Genomic DNA, 20,905 nt, shown 5'->3' on the forward strand with positions numbered 1-20,905 from the left:
GTCTCCTAGGCAACCATATCAACTTCCGGCTTGAGGCACGATAGCGGTTGGCGAGAGGCCACATTTCCGCCACGTGACCCGCGCATGCGCCTGCTTGCTGGAGAGCGAGCGTCTTTTGCCACGAACACCTGCGGCGTGCCGAAGTTCCTCTTCTCTGCCCCGGTTCCGGGCGGTCCGCTGGGAGGTGGCGCCCGGAGGGACACCCGTGCCTGGGGTCGGGGCCAGTGCTCTTCTCGGAGCTCCAGAAGTTCTGCTGAGAAGCGCGGCGGCAGCAAGACGACTTCTCCGGAGCCGCCGAGCTGGAGTTAGAGGTGGAGCTCCGTGGGGCCGGGCCCCCGGCTGCGGGGCAGCGGCTCCTGCAGGCGGAGGCCCCGGCGGAGAATGAGCCGGAGCCGGAGGTGGTGGTGGTCTCCTGGCAGAGCGGTGGGACCGGGAGCAAGCTGCGGTGGTTCACCACCTTGATGCTGTGTGCCTCCTTCCTGGGGCTGGTGAGAGCCGGGGCTGCAACACTCCCAGGCCGGGGCGTTCGAGTCTTGCCTTCGCCACTTGCAAACTGACCTTGGGCGCGTTACCTAATCTGACTGGGCCTCAGTTTCATCATCTAGAAAATGGGCACAATTCTAATCTTGGAGGAAATAGATTTTCTGAATACGTCTTTCAGCTCCAGCAAGCTTTTTTTTTTTTTTTTTTTGACGGAGTCTCGCTCTGTTGCCCAGGCTGGAGTGCAGTGGTGCGATCTCGGCTCACTGCAACCTCTGCCCCCAGGGTTCAAGCGATTCTCCTGCGTCAGCCTCCCGAGTAGCTGGGATTACAGGCGCCTGCCACTAAGCCCGGCTAATTTTTGTATTTTTAGTAGAGACGGGGCTTCGCCATGTTGGCCAGGCTGGTTTCAAACTCCTGACCTCAGGTGATCCGCCCACCTCGGCCTCCCAAAGTATTGGGATTACCGGCGTGAGCCACGGCGCCCGGCCCGGCAAGCCTTCCTACGTCTCCTTCGTCGGATGGGAAGGTTGCAAGAGGGGTTCACCAGGTCTTTGGCCGCTGCTCTCCGCACCCACCCACTCAACCCCCAAATTATTACACAGAAAAACTACTTTTCTGGAATTTCTTCCTGGTGATCTGACCAAATTCAGCCAACCGCTTAATTTTGCAGATAAGGAAATAGGCCCGGAGGGGAAAGTGACTTTCTGGATCACACAGCTGGTTAAGTGATAGAGCCAGAAATATGTCTTTTACTCTGCCCACCATCCTATTTATTAATAAAACCAACCTTTAGATTCTTAAATGTTTTTCTTGGAGCAAAGGGCAAGCCTAGAGGCGCCTTTTGCCAAACCCCTGGGTCGCCACTCAATTCACTTTTCGGAAACCTCCTCCTTATCACTTGATAATTATGATCCTGGGGGAGTTGAGAGGATGAGTCCTCCCAAGAGTCATGTGTGGTCACTTACCATCTCAGGGACTCTGAGCCACAGTTGTTTCTTAGAGTATTTTGATTGGGGGCGGTGGGGAGGGGTGAAGAAAGAAATCACTTCAGACTTTTGGTGAGTCGTCACTGACTTGTCCGGTCCTGTTGTAAATCCTTTGAAGACATGAACTAATTTGATTAGATTCTGTGCTCAGGCTTCTCTCGAAGTACGAGGTGCTTGCTGTGCACCTGGGCCCATAGTGGTCCGTGGTCTTGGACTGTTACGAGTTGGGCAGGGGGCGCACCCCATGCATTTAGAGCAGAGCAGGGCAATTAGAATCAGTTATTCTGGAAATGTAGACTGATTGGAAACATTTTTTTCTTTAAATGTCCAATGAATTTCCTCTGAAAGTCAATTGTAATCCTTACCTCTTGCTGACACTGCATTGAGTAAAGTTTTATTGTTAAAGTCATTCTGTACTTGGGCGTGTAATATTTTTTAAGCAACCTTTACTGACTAATTCTGATGGCGTGGAAGAAAAGTGTAGATTTAGAAACATTTAAATTGTTTATCTCCTGTATGTTTTATATGTATAGTTCAGGGGAAGGACTCCATGTGCATCCAGAAATATTGCTGTTTAACAACATAAAAAACAGGAATCATATTTTGATGTTTTGATCAAGGTTTTGACGTTTTCCAGTGGCTCAGTCAGAACTCACTACAGTCTCGACCTCAGGGCTTAAGCGATCCTTCCATCTCAGCCTCCCTAGTAACTGGGACTACAGGCATGCGCCACCACGCCTGGCTGATTTTTTTCATTTTTATTTTTGTAGAGATGGGGTTGCCTAGGTTGATCTCAAAACCCTGAGCTCAAGCAGTCCTACCATCTCTCCCTTCCAGATTGCTGGGATTACAGGTGTAAGCAACCACACCTGACTTAATTTAATTAATTAATTTATTCTTTCTGAGACAGAGTCTCGCTCTGTCGCCCAGGCTGGAGTGCAATGGTGCAGTCTCGGCTCACTGCAACCTCCGCATCCCGTGTTCAAGCGATTCTCCTGCCTCAGCCTCCCGAGTAGCTGGGACTACAGGCGCCCACCACCATGCCCAGCTAATTTTTGTATTTTTAGTAGAGATGGGGTTTCACTGTGTTGGCCACGCTGGTCTCAAACTCCTGACCTCGTGATCCGCCTGCTTCGGCCTCCCAAAGTGCTGAGATTACAGGCGTGAGCTACTGTGCCCGGCCAATTTAAATTTTTAATACCCAAATTCTTATTTGTGCATGTAATATATTTCAAAATGTACGAAACCATTTCAAAAATAGTTTTAATATTACATTTTATTAATACAGAATAGTCTTTTAAAGGTATTGTTCAGAAAGGAAACAGGATTGCAACAAAAAAATAATTTTTTAAAAACTGAGAGGTGTCAAAACAAAAAAAAAATAAGAGTTTTAGTCAAAACTAAAAAAACAGTAGTCTAATTCCCTACATTACATTGTAAATCCCAGACCCTCCGCCCCCCTTTTTTTTTATAGTGGAAGAAACTACCACATAGTTAGACATTATTTTAATGATTATAAGTAAAAACTTTTGTCTTTTTAAATTTTAGGGATTGAGTGTTGCTATAGTGGGACCCACGTTTCAAGATTTGGCAACAAACGTGAACCGAAATATCAGTAGTCTGTCTTTCATTTTTGTGGGTCGTGCCTTGGGATATTTGAGTGGCTCTGTGATTGGTGGATTTCTTGTCGATGTCATGAATTATTTTTTACTTTTGGGTAAGTAAATGCTAATTTTAGCTTCTTTATGACTGTCAAGTGAATTTACAAGTTGTCTTTGAAAATATGAAAATACTAGCATGCAGAATGGTTGGCCACTGAAATGGGTAGTGTTTAGGTGTCCTCAATGGCAGTTGAGTTTCCCTGGTACCTGCTTTCATCTTGACAGTTAGAGGGTATCTGTGCTGGGTCCCTCTGGAAATTTAGATTAGCTCTAGAGTGTCTTAGCAATCCTTAGCCTTTCCAACCACTATAATTTAGCTACCACTCCTGGATCACACACTGGTTGTCCAAAAAACTCTGCTTAGAGGGTTTAGGGCAGATTTCCTGGGGTCACCACAGATCAGAATGAGCTCTTTGAACCTGCCCAGGCTACACCCTGGATTGGGAATGAAGAGGGGAAGCGAGGTTGGGTGGACTGATGTAGGCTATGTTTTTGTTCCTGCTGCCCCATGTTGTCGTTGGACAACCCCAGAGTGCTCTGTCTCACCCTGGAAATAGATGGCAAAGCTGCTTTTTTTTTTTGAGACAGGGTCTCCTCTCCCTCTATTGCCCAGGCTGGAGTGCAGTGATGCGATCTCTGCTCACTGCAACCTCCCCCTCCTGGGCTCAAGCGATCCTCCCATCTCAGCCTTCCAATTAACTGGGACCACAGGTGTGAGCCACCATGCCTGATTAATTTTTGTGTTTTTAGTAGAGCCGGGGTTTCACCATGTTGCCCAGGTTGGTCTGGAACTCCTGAGCTCAAAGGATCAGCCTCCCAGAGTATTGGGATTACAGGTGTGAGCCACCACGCCTGGGCTGGCAAAGCTTTTAGCATATACTTTTTTTGAATAAATTGAAATATTTAGAGAAAATTTAGATTAATATGATAAAATTGTTTTGGAAGCAAGAATAATTTGTTATTGTTAAGGAATTAATAAATAATCCCTCTTATTTCCAAAGTGGGTTGAAATAACATATTTCTTGTATTTTCCTCCCTATTTCCCAAACTAATTTATTTAGTAAATTTTATTACAAACTACTCTAGTAATTGCATTTTATTTTTGTCTATTTAATTTTTTGCCTCATGTCTAAAAATTCCTGTTAGGTTCTTAAATGTGAATCATTTAAATTAGTTTTGGCTTGTCTCTTTTGGTATAAAACTTTGCCTTATGGTATAATTTACAGTTTGATTACTAGCAGTGCTTTAAATGTATTTGTGTTATAATTATTTATATTTCATAATCCATAAAGATTATAAAAGATTCAAATGAAATAATCACTTTTAGAAGCAAAAACTCTCATCTACTCATTATCTAATTTAAATTTGACCTGATTTTGCATGTTTGGACATTTATGATATTGACTTGATCCATGACTGCATGGATATTATTTTTTATAGCTGAGTTTCTACCTTCCCAGGAATCTCAATGTCGGCTACCACCGTTGGTCTTTATCTTGTTCCTTTTTGCAAGACAGCAATATTACTCACTGTCATGATGTCTATCTTCGGTGTTTCAATTGGCATTCTGGATACAGGTTAGTGAGCTCTTCAACGTCATCTCTGGGAGTAGGGACTTGCTAGAAGAAGTACAGCAGATGATACTAAACTGTCACTTGCAATGCCCCCTAAAATGACACAGACCTACTGAGTTGGTTGTGAGTCACTCAGAATGAATCACCCTTCTAGCAGCTATTCTTGCCAATTAGGGGGCCTGTTTCTGAGCAGCCAACTCTGAAATGAACTTAAAGAATTTTGTTCTATGAGAGATAATTGATTTACATTGTCCAAACAGGGAAGGGCCCCTGTGTGGGTAATTACAGTGCAGGTGAATAGGCCTTCATCTTGGGGTAGAACTTTATTGCTCTAGTATGGGAGGAATTGGTGGTTTAATAGGTTAAACCAAGTTTGGAACTGTTATTTGGCTGAGAAAGCATAGAAGCAGCAATCCAACTTGACATTTACCCTGACTTCCAAGCCAAGAGAGATCCATAGTGTGGACTAGGCTCTTTCTTTTTCTTTCTGTCCTCAAAGTTCCTGGCCTCCTGCAGTAGATTCTTTCCCGTATCATCATCATGTCTTTTAAAACTTACTAAATAGGCCGGGTGCGGTGGCTCACACCTGTAATCCAGCACTTTGGGAGGCCGAGATGGGTGGATCACGAGGTCAGGAGATCGAGACCATCCTGGCTAACACAATGAAACCTCATCTCTACTAAAAATACAAAAAATTAGCCGGGTGTGGTGGTGGGCGCCTGTAGTCCCAATTACTCGGGAGGCTGAGGCAGGAGAATGGCATGAACCCAGGAGGCGGAGCTTGCAGTGAGCAGAGATCACACCACTGCACTTCAGCCTGGGTGACAGAGTGAGACTCCATCTCAAAAAAAAAAAAAAAACCTACTAAATAACGGCGGGGTGGCTTACGCCTATAATCCTAGCACTTTGGGAGGCTGTGTCGGGCAGATCACCTGAGGTCAGGAGTTCAAGACCAGCCTGACCAATATGGAGAAACCGCGTCTCTACTAAAAATATAAAATGAGCCAGGCATGGTGGCGCGTGCCTGTAATCCCAGCTACTCAGGAGGCTGAGGCTGGAGAATTGCTTGAACCCAGGAGGTGGAGGTTGCAGAGAGCCACGATTGTGCCATTGCACTCCAGCCAGGGTCTCAAAAACAAACAAACAGAAAACCTACTAAATAACATAGATGACATCTGTTTACTCCTAAAACCAGCTTTCTACCCCTCCCTTCCCTGCTTTGCTGTTACGTGATCTGTTGAGGAAATATTTTATTTTACTTTAGGGTTAATTTTGTTATGAAATTATAGGGTAGAATTATATATTTATCTGAAAATATCTGTTGAAAAAAAAGAAGATAGCTCAAGATGTGCTGCTTCTTGCCTTTCTCCTCCTAGACGTTTAGACAGTATAAATTCAGATGCTAAACGGTGTCCTTGTTTCCTCTAATGGGCATACCAGAATCCTGGCTATTCAGGTTCCTGGACGTGTGTTTTGCATCTGTTACATACATAAGTAAGTAATTTTCCTCAAGTGGCTACCAACAGCAAGTACAGAAAGCTTTGGTAATTTGGCTACTATCTGATGATAAAATTTTGCCTTTTAAATATATATTTAAAATATTAATATATAAATATTTCTTCTGCAGTCTGATGTTAGAACTGTATTATAAAAAGCGTCTTGCTAATGTGCTTGGTTCTAGGAGGTAGTAGTCTACTAGACTGTAGAATTCGATTTGTGAGTATGTGATGTTATAATGCTTAGAGTTGTCTGGTGGTAGTGGGTTAGAATTCCTTTCTCAGAATTGATTTAGTTGCAATGTTTGATAATTAGAATATTATAATGCTTGTGCTATGTAAAATAGACTCACCCCCTTTCTGATAAGTGAACTTTTTTTTTTAATAAGTAAGTAACTGTTTAACTTAAATAATTTTTCCCATCTTTCATCGACAGGTGGTAACGTCCTTATCTTGGCTATTTGGGGGGACAAAGGAGCCCCACATATGCAGGCCTTACACTTCTCTTTTGCCTTGGGTGCCTTTTTGGCTCCACTGCTAGCTAAACTGGCTTTGGGTCCGACAGCGTCTGCTGAAAACCACACAGAGTCTGACTTCCATCCTGCACTCAACCAATCATCTGATGCTGACTCAGAAGCTCTGTTTGGAGTACCTAATGATAAGAATTTACTGTGGGCTTATGCTGTTATCGGTACTTACATGTTCTTAGTTTCTGTCATTTTTTTTTGTCTGTTTTTAAAGAATAGCTCAAAGCAAGAAAAAGCAAGAGCATCTGCTGAGACATTTCGAAGAGCAAAATATCACAACGCCCTTCTTTGTCTCCTTTTTCTGTTCTTCTTTTTTTATGTTGGAGCTGAGGTAACATATGGCTCTTATGTTTTCTCATTTGCAACCACCCATGCTGGCATGAAAGAAAGTGAAGCTGCTGGGTTGAACTCCATCTTCTGGGGGACATTTGCAGCCTGCAGGGGCCTGGCAATCTTTTTTGCTACCTGTTTACAGCCTGGAACCATGATTGTGTTGAGCAACATTGGCAGCCTGACTTCATCTTTATTTCTGGTGCTTTTTGACAAGAACCCAATTTGTCTCTGGATAGCAACTTCAGTGTATGGGGCTTCAATGGCAACCACATTTCCGAGTGGTGTTTCTTGGATTGAGCAGTACACGACCATCCATGGGAAATCTGCAGCATTTTTTGTAATTGGTGCTTCCCTGGGAGAAATGGCTATTCCTGCAGTCATTGGAATTCTTCAAGGAAAATACCCTGATTTGCCTGTAGTTCTGTATACCTCTTTGGGAGCATCAATAGCTACTGGTATTTTATTTCCTGTGCTATATAAATTAGCCACTTCACCTCTTGATCGCCAGCGAAAAGAAGACAGAAAGAGTGAGGACCAGAAAGCTCTGCTCTCTAGCTCCGGGCTAAATGAATATGAGGAAGAGAATGAAGAGGAGGATGCAGAAAAATGGAATGAAATGGATTTTGAAATGATTGAAACGAATGATACAATGAGGCATTCTATAATAGAGACATCTAGAAGTAGTCTGACGGAGCCCACAGCTGAAGTCTATAATCAATACCCATCAAATGCACTGGTGTTTGAGTCTTCTCCTTTTAATACTGGCAGTGCCCATGTGAAGCACTTGCCAGAAACCAGGACAAAAGGGACTAACGTTTAGAGAAGATGGATTACTCACTGACATCTTTGAATAACTGCCACTTCTAAGGACGCCATTCAGAGCAGAGCATTAGCAGAATTTCACCATGCTTTGGGGATTAAAATTTTTAGGTCCATATTATAGCAAATGCTAAAAATTTTTGAAATGTTCTGTAATTCCCAGAGTCTTCCATAAATAACCAAATGGTCTCATACACGTACAATAGGATCTTGTTATAACGCTATCATTTGACATGTGACTGATTAGGAAATATTTTATGGTCTCCACCCCTCAGAGCACCCAAAGAAGGCATTGTTTTTGAGAAGGGGGGTATTCTCAGAATGAGACCATGTAGGAGTTGAATTGATTGGTTGAACAAATTATCAGGTATCAATATTTTTCCAGGAAAGTTGAGGAGAATAGTTTCATAAAAGAGAAATGGGCCGGGTGCAGTGGCTAAAGCCTGTAATCCCAGCACTTTGGGAGGCCGAGACGGGCAGATCACGAGGTCAGGAGATCGAGACCATCCTGGCTAACACAGTGAAACCCTGTCTCTACTAAAAATACAAAAAATTAGCCAGGCGTGGTGGCAGGCACCTGTAGTCCCAGCTACTTGGGAGGCTGAGGCAGGAGAATGGCGTGAACCCGGGAGGTGGAGCTTGCAGTGAGCCGAGATCATGCCACACCGTACTCCAGCCTGGGCGACATCTAGACTCCGTCTCAAAAAAGAAATGGAGAGGTATTTTTATTAATTGCTTTACCTTATCTGTAGGGTTGGATCAAAGAATGTAATGACTCATTTGATTTCTAATTTCAATGAAGAGAACACAGAACAGGGCCCAAGGGGTCGGGCTTCAAGCCTTGACTTCTTCTAGCCCTGCACTCTGTCACTTAACGTAGGCCTTGTTTATCTCGCCTCCTGATCTGTGATTCTAGAAATGAAAATGAGATGATTTCCAAATTGGGAATCTGTAAGTTTTAAAGTTTGTGCAAAATGTCTGCTAGAAATTAGTACAAGTGACAGCATGTTCTTCATTTCAAATGAGAAGTGAAACCAAAATGATAAATAGCTTTAAGAATGTGCTAATGATAAATGATTACATGTCAATTTAATGTACTTAATGTTTAATACCTTATTTGAATAATTACCTGAAGAATATATTTTTTAGTACTGCATTTCATTGATTCTAAGTTGCACTTTTTACCCCCATACTGTTAACATATCTGAAATCAGAATGTGTCTTACAATCAGTGATCGTTTAACATTGTGACAAAGTTTAATGGACAGTTTTTTCCCATATGTATATATAAAATAATGTGTTTTACAATCAGTGGCTTAGATTCAGTGAAATACAGTAATTCATTCAATTATGATAGTATCTTTACAGACATTTTAAAAATAAGTTATTTTTATATGCTAATATTCTATGTTCAAGTGGAATTTGGAGACACTATGTTCTAATTTTAAGAACTGTTTCAGTGTTATTAGATTAGTAGTAGGGCTGTAGATGGGGTCTTTCGAGGTCCTTTGCCTACCTCAGTAACAGAGGCTGGGTCTGAGCCTTGCTCGAGATTAGCTCTTCACCAGGTCTGTGTGGTAATCATATCGTAGTTACCGTAGGTCACGCTGCAAGTGTAATTTACAGTGAGGCATAGTCTTTTCCAGTGATTGGAATACTTGTGTCACCGATCCAGGGTTTCTCTTTCCTGAGTCTGAAATACCTGGGAAACCAGTTAGAAGGTGACTGGGTAGCCTAGGAGTCAAGGATCAGAAAGGGTACTTCATATATATGTGGCAGAATTGGTGCAGGTGATCCTTTGAAAAATGACAAGAATTGATGAAATTTTGTTTACTTCCTCCAATTTTTTGCTGAATAACATCTCCTTTCTACCTGATTGGAGTAGGCTTGCTTTCTCTTACTTAATTTCTATAAATTTGCCATTGTTTTGTCTCAAGTAAAATACAGTGTCTTTCTTGACCACTGCCCGCCCATTCACCTTATATGCCTGCCACAGTCTTGGTTCATGTAATAACCTAACAGCTTTGGAGATGGCGGTGGAGAAGTTAATGGTAAAAACCTTCTTGCTCTTTTTATTTTTATTTATTTATTAGGGGTGGGGGATGGTGTCTCACTCTGTCACTCAGGCTGGAGTGCAATGACGTGATCTCAGCTCACTGCAACCTCTGCCTCCCTGGTTCAAGCGATTCTTCTGCCTCGGCCTCCTGAGTAGCTGGGATTACAGGCATGCGCCACCATGCCCAGCTAATTTTTGTGTTTTTAGTAGAGAGGGGGTTTCATCATGTTACCTAGGCTGATCTCAAACTCCTGATCTCAAGTGATCTGCCCACCTCAGCCTCCCAAAGTGTTGAGATTACAGGCATGAGCCACTGTGCCCAGCCCTTTTGCTCTTTTTATAGTGTAAATTTCCCTCAGTTAGAACTTGGAAATTACTTCTGCTTCACTTACTGCCTTTTCTCAGGTTGTTGGAATCTAGGCAGTAGCAGTTACTTGGCAGCTAGGAGGCTTGCTAGAATAGGAATTCCACCTTCAGCATTTACTGTTACAGGGTAGAAGATGCAGCTCAGGGAGAGAAGGATGATGATAAGAACATGGCAGAAAATCTCAAAATCTACTCTGGAAAATTCACTATGTTTCCACACACCAACATGTGAATCGTCATGAGATCATAGGGCATTGTTAAAGTTCCATATTGGAAGGAAAAGACTTAGTACAATTCTAAGAATTAGCATTTATCCTGCTGATCAGTTCTTAGCTAAGTGTCTGCTGATACCTAAGTAACCAATATACCCAAGTGTTCTATTGCTGGGTAACACAGTACCACACATTGAACACCTTAAAACAATAGACATTTGGTAATGTCTGTACAGGCTGTACTGAAGCGGCCTGTACAGGGCCGCTTCAGTACAGGACCTTACCTATGTAGACTGAGGTACGTGTTTCTTGCTGACTGTCAGCTGGGCACCACTCAGCTTCGAGAGGCCTCCCACAGTTCTTGCCATGTGGCCTTCTCACAGATGCCTCTCACAACATGGCAGTTTCTTCAAAGCAAGCAGGAGAATCTCTAAATGAGTCTTGTATGACATTACGTCATTATGGGAATAACATCCCATCACCTTTGCCATATTCTAGCGTCTAGAAGCAAGGTATGAGTTCCAACAAAACTCAAGGGTAGAGGCTAGAACAGGGATGTGACTCATTGCGGATCACCTTAGAGCATGCCTGCCACACTCGGGTACCTGCAGAATAGAGATTCTCAAAAGTTCTAAAAACTGAGCTAAGAGCAGGACATGATGGCTCACACCTGTAATCCCAGCTACTCAGGAAGCTGGGGTGGAAGTATCTCCTGAGGTCAGGAGTTTGAGACCAGCCTGGGCAATATAGTGAGACCTCTGTCTCTAAAAAATTTTTAAAAGAGACCCCTTCTCTAAAAAACAGGAAGGCTGGGCGCGGTGGCTCACACCTGTAATCCCAGCACTTTGGGAGGCCGAGGTGGGCGGATCACAAGGTCAGGAGATCAAGACCATCCTGGCTAACACGGTGAAACCCCATCTCTACTAAAAATACAAAAAATTAGCCGGGCGGGCGTGGTGGCGGGTGCCTGTAGTCCCAGCTACTCGGGAGGCTGAGGCAGGAGAATGGCGTGAACCCAGGAGGCGGAGCTTGCAGTGAGCCGAGATGGTGCCACTGCACTCCAGCCTGGGTGACAGAGCGAGACTGTCTCAAAAAAAAAAAACAAAAATATTCAACTATGAGCTGGGGAAAAAAGCTTCAGCGGTCACTGAAAGTGCTTACAGGTACAGCTAGTATGGGGATGGAATATGCCCCATTAGCCAGGCCAACAGATCTCATATAGGAGAATCTGTTTTATGTTTGTTGGACAGTGGGTGAGTTATCGCAGAGTTATGCCTTTTTTTTCTGTCACTATTTTATGTCCCTTATCACTGTGCCTTTAACCTACTGAAATGCAGTTGAGGCCGGGTGCGGTGGCTCACGCCAAGATGGCGCCACTACACTCCAGCCTGGGCAACAGAGGGAGACTCCATCTCAAAAAAAAAAAAAAAAAAAAAAAAAAGGAAATACAGTTGAATATGAGGGAAATAAGTAAATTTCAGCTTGAGTTTATTTGTATTTTATAATAGAATCCAGGGACATTTTGAGAGTATTTTTCAATTACTCTGTTATTTTTAAAAGAAAAATCTTTTGAAAAATTACTTTTTATTATAAAAACAATAAAGACATAAAATTTTGGCACAAAAATATAAGGAACAAGTATAATCCATAATCCTAAGCACCTAGAAAAGTTCTTACATTTCTCAAATTTCCTAAGTAAAGGGTAAAAGGAAAGAAAAATTCTCCATCAGATAAAGTATCAGAAATAACTTGAATTTTGTGTCTAAAGTATATTGACATTACAGTTGGTGAACTGGTTATTAGTTTGAAGAATTATAGTTTATTTTTTTAAAAAAACCTAATTGGGAGATGATCAGTAGATTCCTTGAGTAATCAGGATAGCTTTCTCATGTCCAGAACTTTTGGCTGGGCATGGTGGCTCACACCTGTAATCACAGCACTTTGGGAGGCTGAGGTGGGTGGATCACTTGAGGTCAGGAGTTTGAGACCAGTCTGGCCAACATGGCAAAACCCCATCTCTACTAAAAAAAAAAAAAAAAAAAAAAAAAAAAAAAGTACAAATAGTTAGCCAGGTGTGGTGGTGGCAGGCATTTGTAATCCCACTTCTGGGGAGGCTGAGGCACGAGAATCACTTGAACTTGGGAGGCAGAGTTTACAGTAAGCTGAGATCACGCTACTGCACTTCAGCCTGGGTTACAAAGTGAGACTGTCTAAAAAATTTAAAATAACCAGAACTTCTGATTTATCATGGCAATGTGTCACTCAGTCCCCAATCCTGCTACTTAAAAGTTATTTTTATTTTTTAAGTGGCCTGATCGCAGCTCACTGCAGCCCTGACCTCCCAGGCTCAAGCAGTCCTCCTACCTCAGCCTCCCAAGTAGCTGGGACTACAGGCTTGTGCAACCATGCCTGGCTAATTTTTGTATTTTTTGTAGAGACAGGGTTTTGCCATGTTGGCCAGGCTGGTCTCAAACTCCTGACCTCAAGTGATCCACCTGTCTAGGCCTCCCAAAGTGCTGGGATTACATGCGTGAGCCACCATGCCCAGCCCACCTGTGATATTTTGATACATGCATACAATGTGTAGTGATCAAAGCAGGGTAATTAGGATATTAATTATCTCAAGTGTTATAATTTCTTTGTGTTAGGAAAATTCCACATCTTGTGCTATAGCTGTTTTCAGTTATATACTGGATTATTGAACTATAGTGACCCTACTGTGCTGTTGAACACTAGAACTTCTTCCTTCTAACTGTATTTTTTTTTTTTTTTTTTTGAGATGAAGTTTCACTCTTGTTGCCCAGGCTGCAGTGTAATGGCACGATCTCTGCTCACTGCAACCTCTGTCTCCCAGGTTCAAGCCATTCTCATTCCTCAGCCACCCAAGTAGCTGGGATTACAGGCATGTGTCACCATTCCTGGCTAATTTTTGTATTTTTAGTAGAGATGGGGTTTTACCATGTTGGTCAGGCTGGTCTCGAACTCCTGACCTCAAGTGATCCACCCACCTTGACCTCTCAAAGTTCTGGGATTACAGGTGTGAGCCACCGCACCCGATCTCTATCTAACTGTATATATATATGTGTATATTTTTTAAGACAGAGTCTTGCTCTTGTCACCCAGGCTGGAGTGCAGTGGCACAATTCCGGCTCACTGCAACCTCTGTCTCCTGGGTTCAAGCGATTCTCCTGCCTCAGCCTCCCAAGTAGCTGGGATTACAGGCATCCACCACCATGCCCAGCCAATTTTTGTGTTTTTAGTAGAGACGGGGTTTCACCATGTCAGCCAGGCTGGTCTCGAACTCCCGACCTCAGGTGATCCACTTGCCTCGGGTCAGAGAAGATATTTTGATCAGAAATGATTATATTTTGGTCAGAAAAGATTATATTGTGGTCAGAAAAGATTATATGTTTTTTGAGTTAGGGTCTTGCTCTGTTGCTCAGGCTGGAGTGCAGTCGCCTAATCATGGCTCACTGCAGTCTCAAGCTTTTAGGCTCAAGCAGTCCCCTGCCTCAGCCTTCTGAGCAACTAGGATTACAGGTGTCACTATGCTTATTATTATTATTTTCTATTGTAGAGATGGGGTCTCACTGTGTTGACTAGGCTGGTTTTGAATTCCTGGCCTCAGGCGATCCTCCCGTCTCAGCCTCCCAAACTGCTGGGATTACAGGTATGAGGTACTGTGTCCAGCCAGAAAAGATTCTTGATATGATTTTAATTCTTGTAAATTAGTTGAGATTTGTGTTTTTTTTTTTTTTTTTGTTTAACATGTGGTCTATCCTGGAGAATGTGCTGATGAGAAGAATGTTTATTCTGTAGCTGTTGGGTGAAATGTCCTGTAAATGTCTGTTAGGCCCAGTTGGTCTAAATCTAATGTTTCTTTGTTGATTTTCTGTCTAGATGATCTGTCCAGTGCTGAGACTGGATGACTGAAGTCCCCAACTACTATTGTAGTTGGAGTCTATGTGCCCATTTATTTTTTTAGTTTTTTGAGACAGAGTCTCACTCTGTTACCCAGGCTGGAGTGCAGTGGCACAATTACGGCTCACTGTAGTTTTGACCTCCTGAGCTCAAGTGATTCTCTTGCTTCAGCCTTTTGAGTAGTTGGAACTACAGGTGTGTGTCACCATGGCTAATTTGTTATTTCTTTAATAGAGGTGGGGCCTCAGTATGTTTCCCAGGCAGGTCTTGAACTGCACTCAAGTGATCTTCCCACCTTGACCTCCCAAAGTGCTGAAATTACAGGCATGAGCCACTGTACCTAGCCTAATTTTTAAATTATTTCTAGAGACAAGGTCTCACTATGTTGCGCAGGCTGGTCTCAAACTCCTGGGCTCAAGCATTCCTCCCACTTTGGCCTCCCAAAGTACTGGGATTACAGGTGTGAGAGCCCCTTGAAATATAAGAATATTGGCTTTATTTATTTTGGTGCTCTGGTGTTCGGTGCATATATATTTACAGTTGTTTTAGCCTTTTGAATTGATCTCTTTATCATTATATAATGATTTTCTTTGTCTCTTTTTACAGTTTTGGATATAGTCTATTTTATCTAAGCATAGCTATTCTTGCCTGGTTTTGGTTTTGCTTTGTGTGGAGTATCTTTTTCCATACCTACACTTTCAGTCCATATGTGTGTTTACGGGTGAAGTGAGTTTTTTGCAGGCAGCATACAGTTGGGTAATGGGGTTTTTTGTTTTTTTGTTTATTTTAATCCATTCAGTCTTTCTATAACTTTTAGGTGGGGAATTTAATCCGTTTACATTCAAGGCTGTTATTGACAGGTGAAGACTTGCTCTTGTCATTTTGTGAGTTGTTTTCTGATTGCTTTGTATATCCTTTGTTTTTTCCTCTCAATGTTTATCACTGTGATTTTGTGATTTTCTGTGGAGATAAGTTTTCTTTATCTTCCTCCTTTGTGTATCTATAACACTAGTACATTTTATGCTTTTGTATGTTTTCATGATGGTGATTATCATCTTTTTGCCTTCAGATGTATTAAGCATTTCTTGTAAGGCTGGTCTAGTTGTGATGAATTCCATCAGTTTTTGTCTGGGATCTGTGTTTATTTTAATTATGTCTTGTCTTATTCTCTGTTTTTTGTGTTATTTTTTAAAATTATTTCAGAGAAGATTGGTTCTTACACTGTGACTATCCTTTTCTGTTTATTTATTTCATTTTAATTTTTTTAGAGACAGGATCTCCCTCTATTGCCCATCATGGAGTGCAGTGGTGTGATCATAGCTCATTGCAGCTTCGGACTCCTGGGCTCAAGCAATCCACTCACCTCAGTCTCTTGAGTAGCTGGGACTACAGTTGCATGCCACCTTACCTGGCTTTTTTTTTTTTTTCAGAGACAGGGTCTCATTTCGTTGCCCAGGCTAGTCTTAAATTCCTGGCTTCAAGCAATCCTTCCACCTCAGCTAGGATTACAGGTGTAAGCCACGATACCCCACTCTGTGACTATTCTTATATATTGCTTTTATGTCTTCGTTTGCTTTGATTTTTAATTGCAGAATGTGTTTAATAGATTCTGTAAATTTATTGCAGCTTGGTTTTGATACATTTGGTTATGAGTTAGTTAACCAGTGTCCTGGAGGAATGTTTTGAAGTTAGATGACATGAGTAGCATAAGGGGCTGGCTTTTAGCTCAGAACAACTTTTTTTTTTTTTTTTTTAATATGGAGTCTTGCTCTGTCACCCAGGCTGGAGTGCAATGGCATGATCTTGGCTCACTGCAACCTCCAGCTCCTGGGTTTAAGTGATTCTCCTGCCCCAGCCTCCCGAGTAGCTGGGATTACAGGTGTGCACCACCACGCCCAGCTAATTTTTGTATTTTTAGTAAAAACAGGGTTTCACAATGTTGGTCAGGCTGGTCTTGAACTGCTGACCTTGTGATCCACCCACCTCGGCCTCCCAAAGTGCTGCGATTACAGGTGTGAGCCACTGTGCCCGGTCAGCTCAGAACAACTTGTTGAGATTATACGATGCTTTTCCAATAAAAATTATTTAATTTTGATAAAATATACTTAATGGAAAAATGTATCTTTTAACATTTTAAATTGTACAGTTCAGTGGCATTAAGTATATTCACATTGTCTTACAACCATCACTTCCACTCATCCACAGAACGTTTTTTACCTTGCAAAACTGAAACTCTGTGCTGTTAAACAGTAACTGCCATTCTACGCCCCCATCCCAGCCCTTGTCAACCACCATTCTACTTTGTCTATGAATTTGACTGCTCAGAGTACTTCATATAAGTGGGATCATACAGTTTTTGTCCTTTCATTACTAGCTTCTTTCCCTTAACATAATGTCTTCAAGGATCATCCTTGTTGTAGCATGTGTTAGAATTTCTTTCCTTTTTAAGTCTATGATACACCATTGTATATACATACTATATTTTGTTTATTCATCTGTCAGTGGACATTTGTGTTGCTTCTACATTTTGGCTGTTGTTAATACGCTGCTGTGAATGTGGGTGTACAACTGTGTCTTTGAGATCTTGTTTTCAGTTCTTTTGAGATATATACCCATAAGTGGAATTGCTGGATCTTATGGTAATTCTATTTTTAATATTTTGTTGTGTTTGTGTTTTTTGTCTTAGATTTTTTTCTTAATCAAGTTTTTCCAGAAGAGAGTAGCTTTAGGAAGAGAATAAACACATACTTTTAAGGTATTATCTCAGACTTTAGGCGCATTATGATCATATCAGTAGCACCCATGTACTGAATAAGTGAACTCAAAGAAAAGTTATGTTGGGCAACTACCTCAAAGTTTTGTTATCTCTGCTTGCAATTTTTGTTCAGTCATTGCACAAGTGCTTGAGGGCTTACTGCATGTGAGGCTCTGTAGACTAAGTATTAATGAACTTTCTTTTTTGTCCTTGCAGTAGCAGGTACAGCTTTGATCTCAGTTTTCTGCCAAATGAATGGTTCTGTGTTTTGTGCTCATTCGTTTACAGAGATCCCTCTGAACCACCTTGGAACCAGAAGGTGTGTGGTCTGAGAACGATAAATGGGCTGCTCTCTGCCTCTCTCACAGCAGTTCTGCCCCTCCTTGGGACCACTCGTTTTCTGCATTCCTGGCCCATCTTCTATATATCTCTGGTCCAGATTCCAGAGGAAACCTGTTTGACTTGAATAGATGCCATTGCCCTTATTGGGCCTTGCCTCAGGAGTTCCTCTGTGTATCTCTGGTCCAGATTCCGGAGGAAACCTGTTTGACTTGAGTAGATGCCATTGCCCTTATTGGGCCTTGCCTCAGGAGTTGCTGGTTAGCCTATGAAGGGGTTCCCTTTGGGTTGATGACATTGCTCCCATCCAGAAAGTGGCTACTTCTACCCTCCTACTCCCACCACTCTGCATGCAGGAGCTGTTATCATCAAAAGGGAATGTCCACTGTCTGCTCTGTACCAGAGAAGTGCTAGGCTTCATAAATATTGGTAATCGATACCTGAATGGGATGAAAATTGGCAGGTCCTGGGATGGATGGCCTGGTTCATCTGCATCAGAACTGGAAAAACAAAATCACACCAAATTGCAGACTTTTTTGGAAGAGCGTGTTAGACAAGGTTTGTGGATTGTTTGATTTTTACCAAGAAAGAAAGCTTTCTCCTAAGAGGGTAAGATTTCTACTTGAGTGAGCTCTAAGAGGAGTCCCAGTTTGCAAGAGATATTATTACAGTTCTCATCTGTGCGGACCAGAAAGTTTTCCAAATTCATGCATTTCAGTTATCTAACAGATATTTACTGAGCATTTACCATGTTCAGTAACCAGGGCCCTGGGAATATAATAGGAGAAGGCAGATGAGATCCTTGCCTTCACCAAGCTTATGTTTTTCTATTTTAAGTAAAATTTGCCATGACAAAATTTCTATCAGCGGAAGAGCCAGTAACTCTTATTGTAATAGGTTTTACCCAGTTTTAGAAAAGGAAAGTAGCTAAACTCTTGGTTCCTTGGTGTGTGTTTTTGTTTGTTCATTTCTAGTACTTGTCTATGTCTTTGGGGTAATTTTTGATTTAGAATTTTGTAGAAATTACTCGGCACAGTGTAGTTGAGGTGAATATAGGCAAGAAGGCTTAGGAAGCCTACAACAAAGGAATCTGACACCAACTTTTGAGATTTATTCAGTCCAGCCAAGAGAATATATTTATGGTCAAACTAGATCTTGGATTACAGCTCCAAAGACCCTTGGGCTGACAGAGCAGGTTCTCATTTCTCAGCTCTTTCCCTTATCACTTGCAGTGAACTCTGCCCCCAGGAGCAGAGTATCCAGTTCTGTGTCCAAGCACTCTATGAATCTTTACCCTTGTTGAAGAAATACTCAGAGACAGAAGCATTTAGAAAAGGAAAAGTTTACCTGCAAAGAGAGCAAGAGAATGACTGGCTTGCCTAATAAAAAACGTAAGTATTTGAAGGAAAAAATTAAAAACTGCCAAGGTTTCTGAGTTTGCATTAGACTGTTCACGGTGAAAAACAGTAACTGCCTCATGTAATTATTGTATTCATAAAGGTTATGGCAAATCTTCAGATGTAGTACAGGAAAAACCAAGGATAAAATTTCTTAGGGAGTCCAGGTTTATGGGAAACATTCAAGGTTTTATTGTTTTTTAGATCATCAACAGTTAGATGACCCTATCATTTTTGTTTTGTCTCAGGGTGCAACGTCTTTCTTTTCTGATGGTGATTGATATAGTTTGGCTGTGTCCCCACCCAAATCTCATCTTGAATTCCCATGTGTTGTTGGAGGGACCTGGTGGGAGGTAACTAAATCATGGGGGCAAGTCTTTCCCGTGCTGTTCTTGTGATAGTGAGGAAGTCTCACGAGATCTTTTGGTTATTATAAGAGGGAGTTTTCCTGCACAAGCCCTCATTTTGCCTGCTGCCATCTATATAAGATGTGATTTGCTGCTCCTTGCCTTCCGCCATGATTGTGAAGCCTCCCCAGCCATGTGGAACTGTAAGTCCAATAAACCTCTTTTGTAAATTACCTAATCTCAGGTCTGTCTTTATCAACAGCATGAAAACAGACTAATAGAATGATATAGGAAGTTCTTAGTCTTACTGAAGCAAGGGAAAGTGACATTTTGCTTCTACACCCTCCAGAATTCATAAGCTCCAGAAGGAAAGAGGACCCAAGGGAAAAACGTGATTGCAAAATGTGTTCTTGTCCTCTGCCCAAGTGATTAACCTTTGCTCCAGTGGTTTTCAAACCTGGCTGCTGTTAGAATCACCTGGCAGTGTTTAAAAATGACTGATGCCCAGCATTTTAACTTAAATACCAATTTGGTCTGGAGTGGAGCCTGAGTATGGATATTTAAAAAAGTAACTCCTCCTCCCCAATCCCCCGTAATTGTAATGTGCAGCCAAGATTGAGAACCACTGCTTTGATCAGTGCACAAAACTGGATCCTCTACTAATGACCGTGGTTTTTTCTTAGGCTTACTTACAGATTGATTAAGTTATGCCACTTTTGTAGATCCTTGAAATTCTGTGCACTTTCTTTCTTTCTTTTTTTTTTTTTTGAGACAGAGTCTCGCTCTATTGCCCAGGCTGGAGTGCAGTGGCGCTATCTCAGCTCACTGCAAACTTCACCTCCCGGGTTCACGCCATTCTCCTGAGTAGCTGGGACTACAGGCGCCCACCACTGTGCCCAGCTAATTTTTTGTATTTCTAGTAGAGACGGGGTTTCACCACGTTAGCCAGGATGGTCTTGATCTCTTGACCTCGTGATCCGCCCACCTCGGCCTCCCAAAGTGCTGAGATTACAGGCATGAGCCACCGCGCCTAGCCTGTGCACTTTCTTAAAGGAAAACTGGAGAGGAAGAGATCTCATGTTTTCTATTCACTCCACTGCTGCTTGGTCCAGTGCAGGAAATATTGCTGTTATTTGAAGTCCTTCCTAAAACAAAAGCTCAGATCTTTTGGAGGTTGCCCTTCTAGGCAGGTTTTCACCAGTCAATTTTGATTTGGGGGGCTTAACAGAGTAGGAATGATCTTGCAGGTTTATTACATCTGAATTTAAGACTACTCACCTAGGCTGGGCGTGGTGGCTCACACCTGTAATCTCAGTGCTTTGGGAGGCCAAGGCGGGAGGATACCTTGAGCCGAGGAGTTCAACACTGCAGTGAGCCATGATCACACCACTGCATGAGTGAGACTCCATCTCAAACAAAAAAAATAGACTACTCACTGTTTACATAGCTTTGTACCATATAAAAACTTGTTTGAATAAAATATTGATAACAATAGTGATGTTGGTTTAAGATTCATGTTTCAGTTGTTTCACTGATTTTTGAATTGATACATAATAGCTATGCATAATTATGGGTTCCCTGTGATAATTCGATACATGCATACAGTGTGTAATGAGCAAATCAGGGTAGTTGG

The 20,905-nt window shown here is 42.1% G+C and overlaps 1 protein-coding gene across 1 annotated transcript, besides 3 other annotated features; it reads left to right on the forward strand.

Annotated features, from left to right (window-relative positions):
• On the forward strand, nucleotides 100-20,766 carry SLC60A2 (solute carrier family 60 member 2). Its single transcript, NM_153369.4, has 4 exons — nucleotides 100-488; nucleotides 3,018-3,186; nucleotides 4,591-4,707; nucleotides 6,637-20,766. The coding sequence occupies exons 1-4, from the start codon at nucleotides 462-464 to the stop codon at nucleotides 7,878-7,880; spliced, it is 1,557 nt and encodes a 518-aa protein (NP_699200.2). The 5' UTR covers nucleotides 100-461; the 3' UTR covers nucleotides 7,881-20,766.
• Nucleotides 130-209: an enhancer, noted in NCBI's record as "active region_24942". NCBI's record gives its function as "activates an Ori minimal core promoter by ATAC-STARR-seq in GM12878 lymphoblastoid cells {active_cell/tissue: GM12878}" and the evidence as "EXISTENCE:reporter gene assay evidence [ECO:0000049][PMID:35858748]".
• Nucleotides 4,667-4,961: a silencer, noted in NCBI's record as "tiled region #12211; HepG2 Repressive non-DNase unmatched - State 15:Elon". NCBI's record gives its function as "represses a minimal TATA promoter and a strong SV40 promoter by Sharpr-MPRA in HepG2 cells {active_cell/tissue: HepG2}" and the evidence as "EXISTENCE:reporter gene assay evidence [ECO:0000049][PMID:27701403]".
• Nucleotides 18,687-18,856: an enhancer, noted in NCBI's record as "experimental_87657 CRE fragment used in MPRA reporter constructs". NCBI's record gives its function as "activates a minimal promoter by MPRAs in K562 erythroleukemia cells, with activity observed for both the introgressed and non-introgressed 6:111599214 variant alleles {active_cell/tissue: K562}" and the evidence as "EXISTENCE:reporter gene assay evidence [ECO:0000049][PMID:34662402]".
• Nucleotides 20,767-20,905: the final 139 nt, after the last annotated feature.

The sequence above is a fragment of the Homo sapiens genome, chromosome 6 (assembly GCF_000001405.40).
Source record: "Homo sapiens chromosome 6, GRCh38.p14 Primary Assembly".
Classification (NCBI taxonomy): domain Eukaryota; kingdom Metazoa; phylum Chordata; class Mammalia; order Primates; family Hominidae; genus Homo; species Homo sapiens.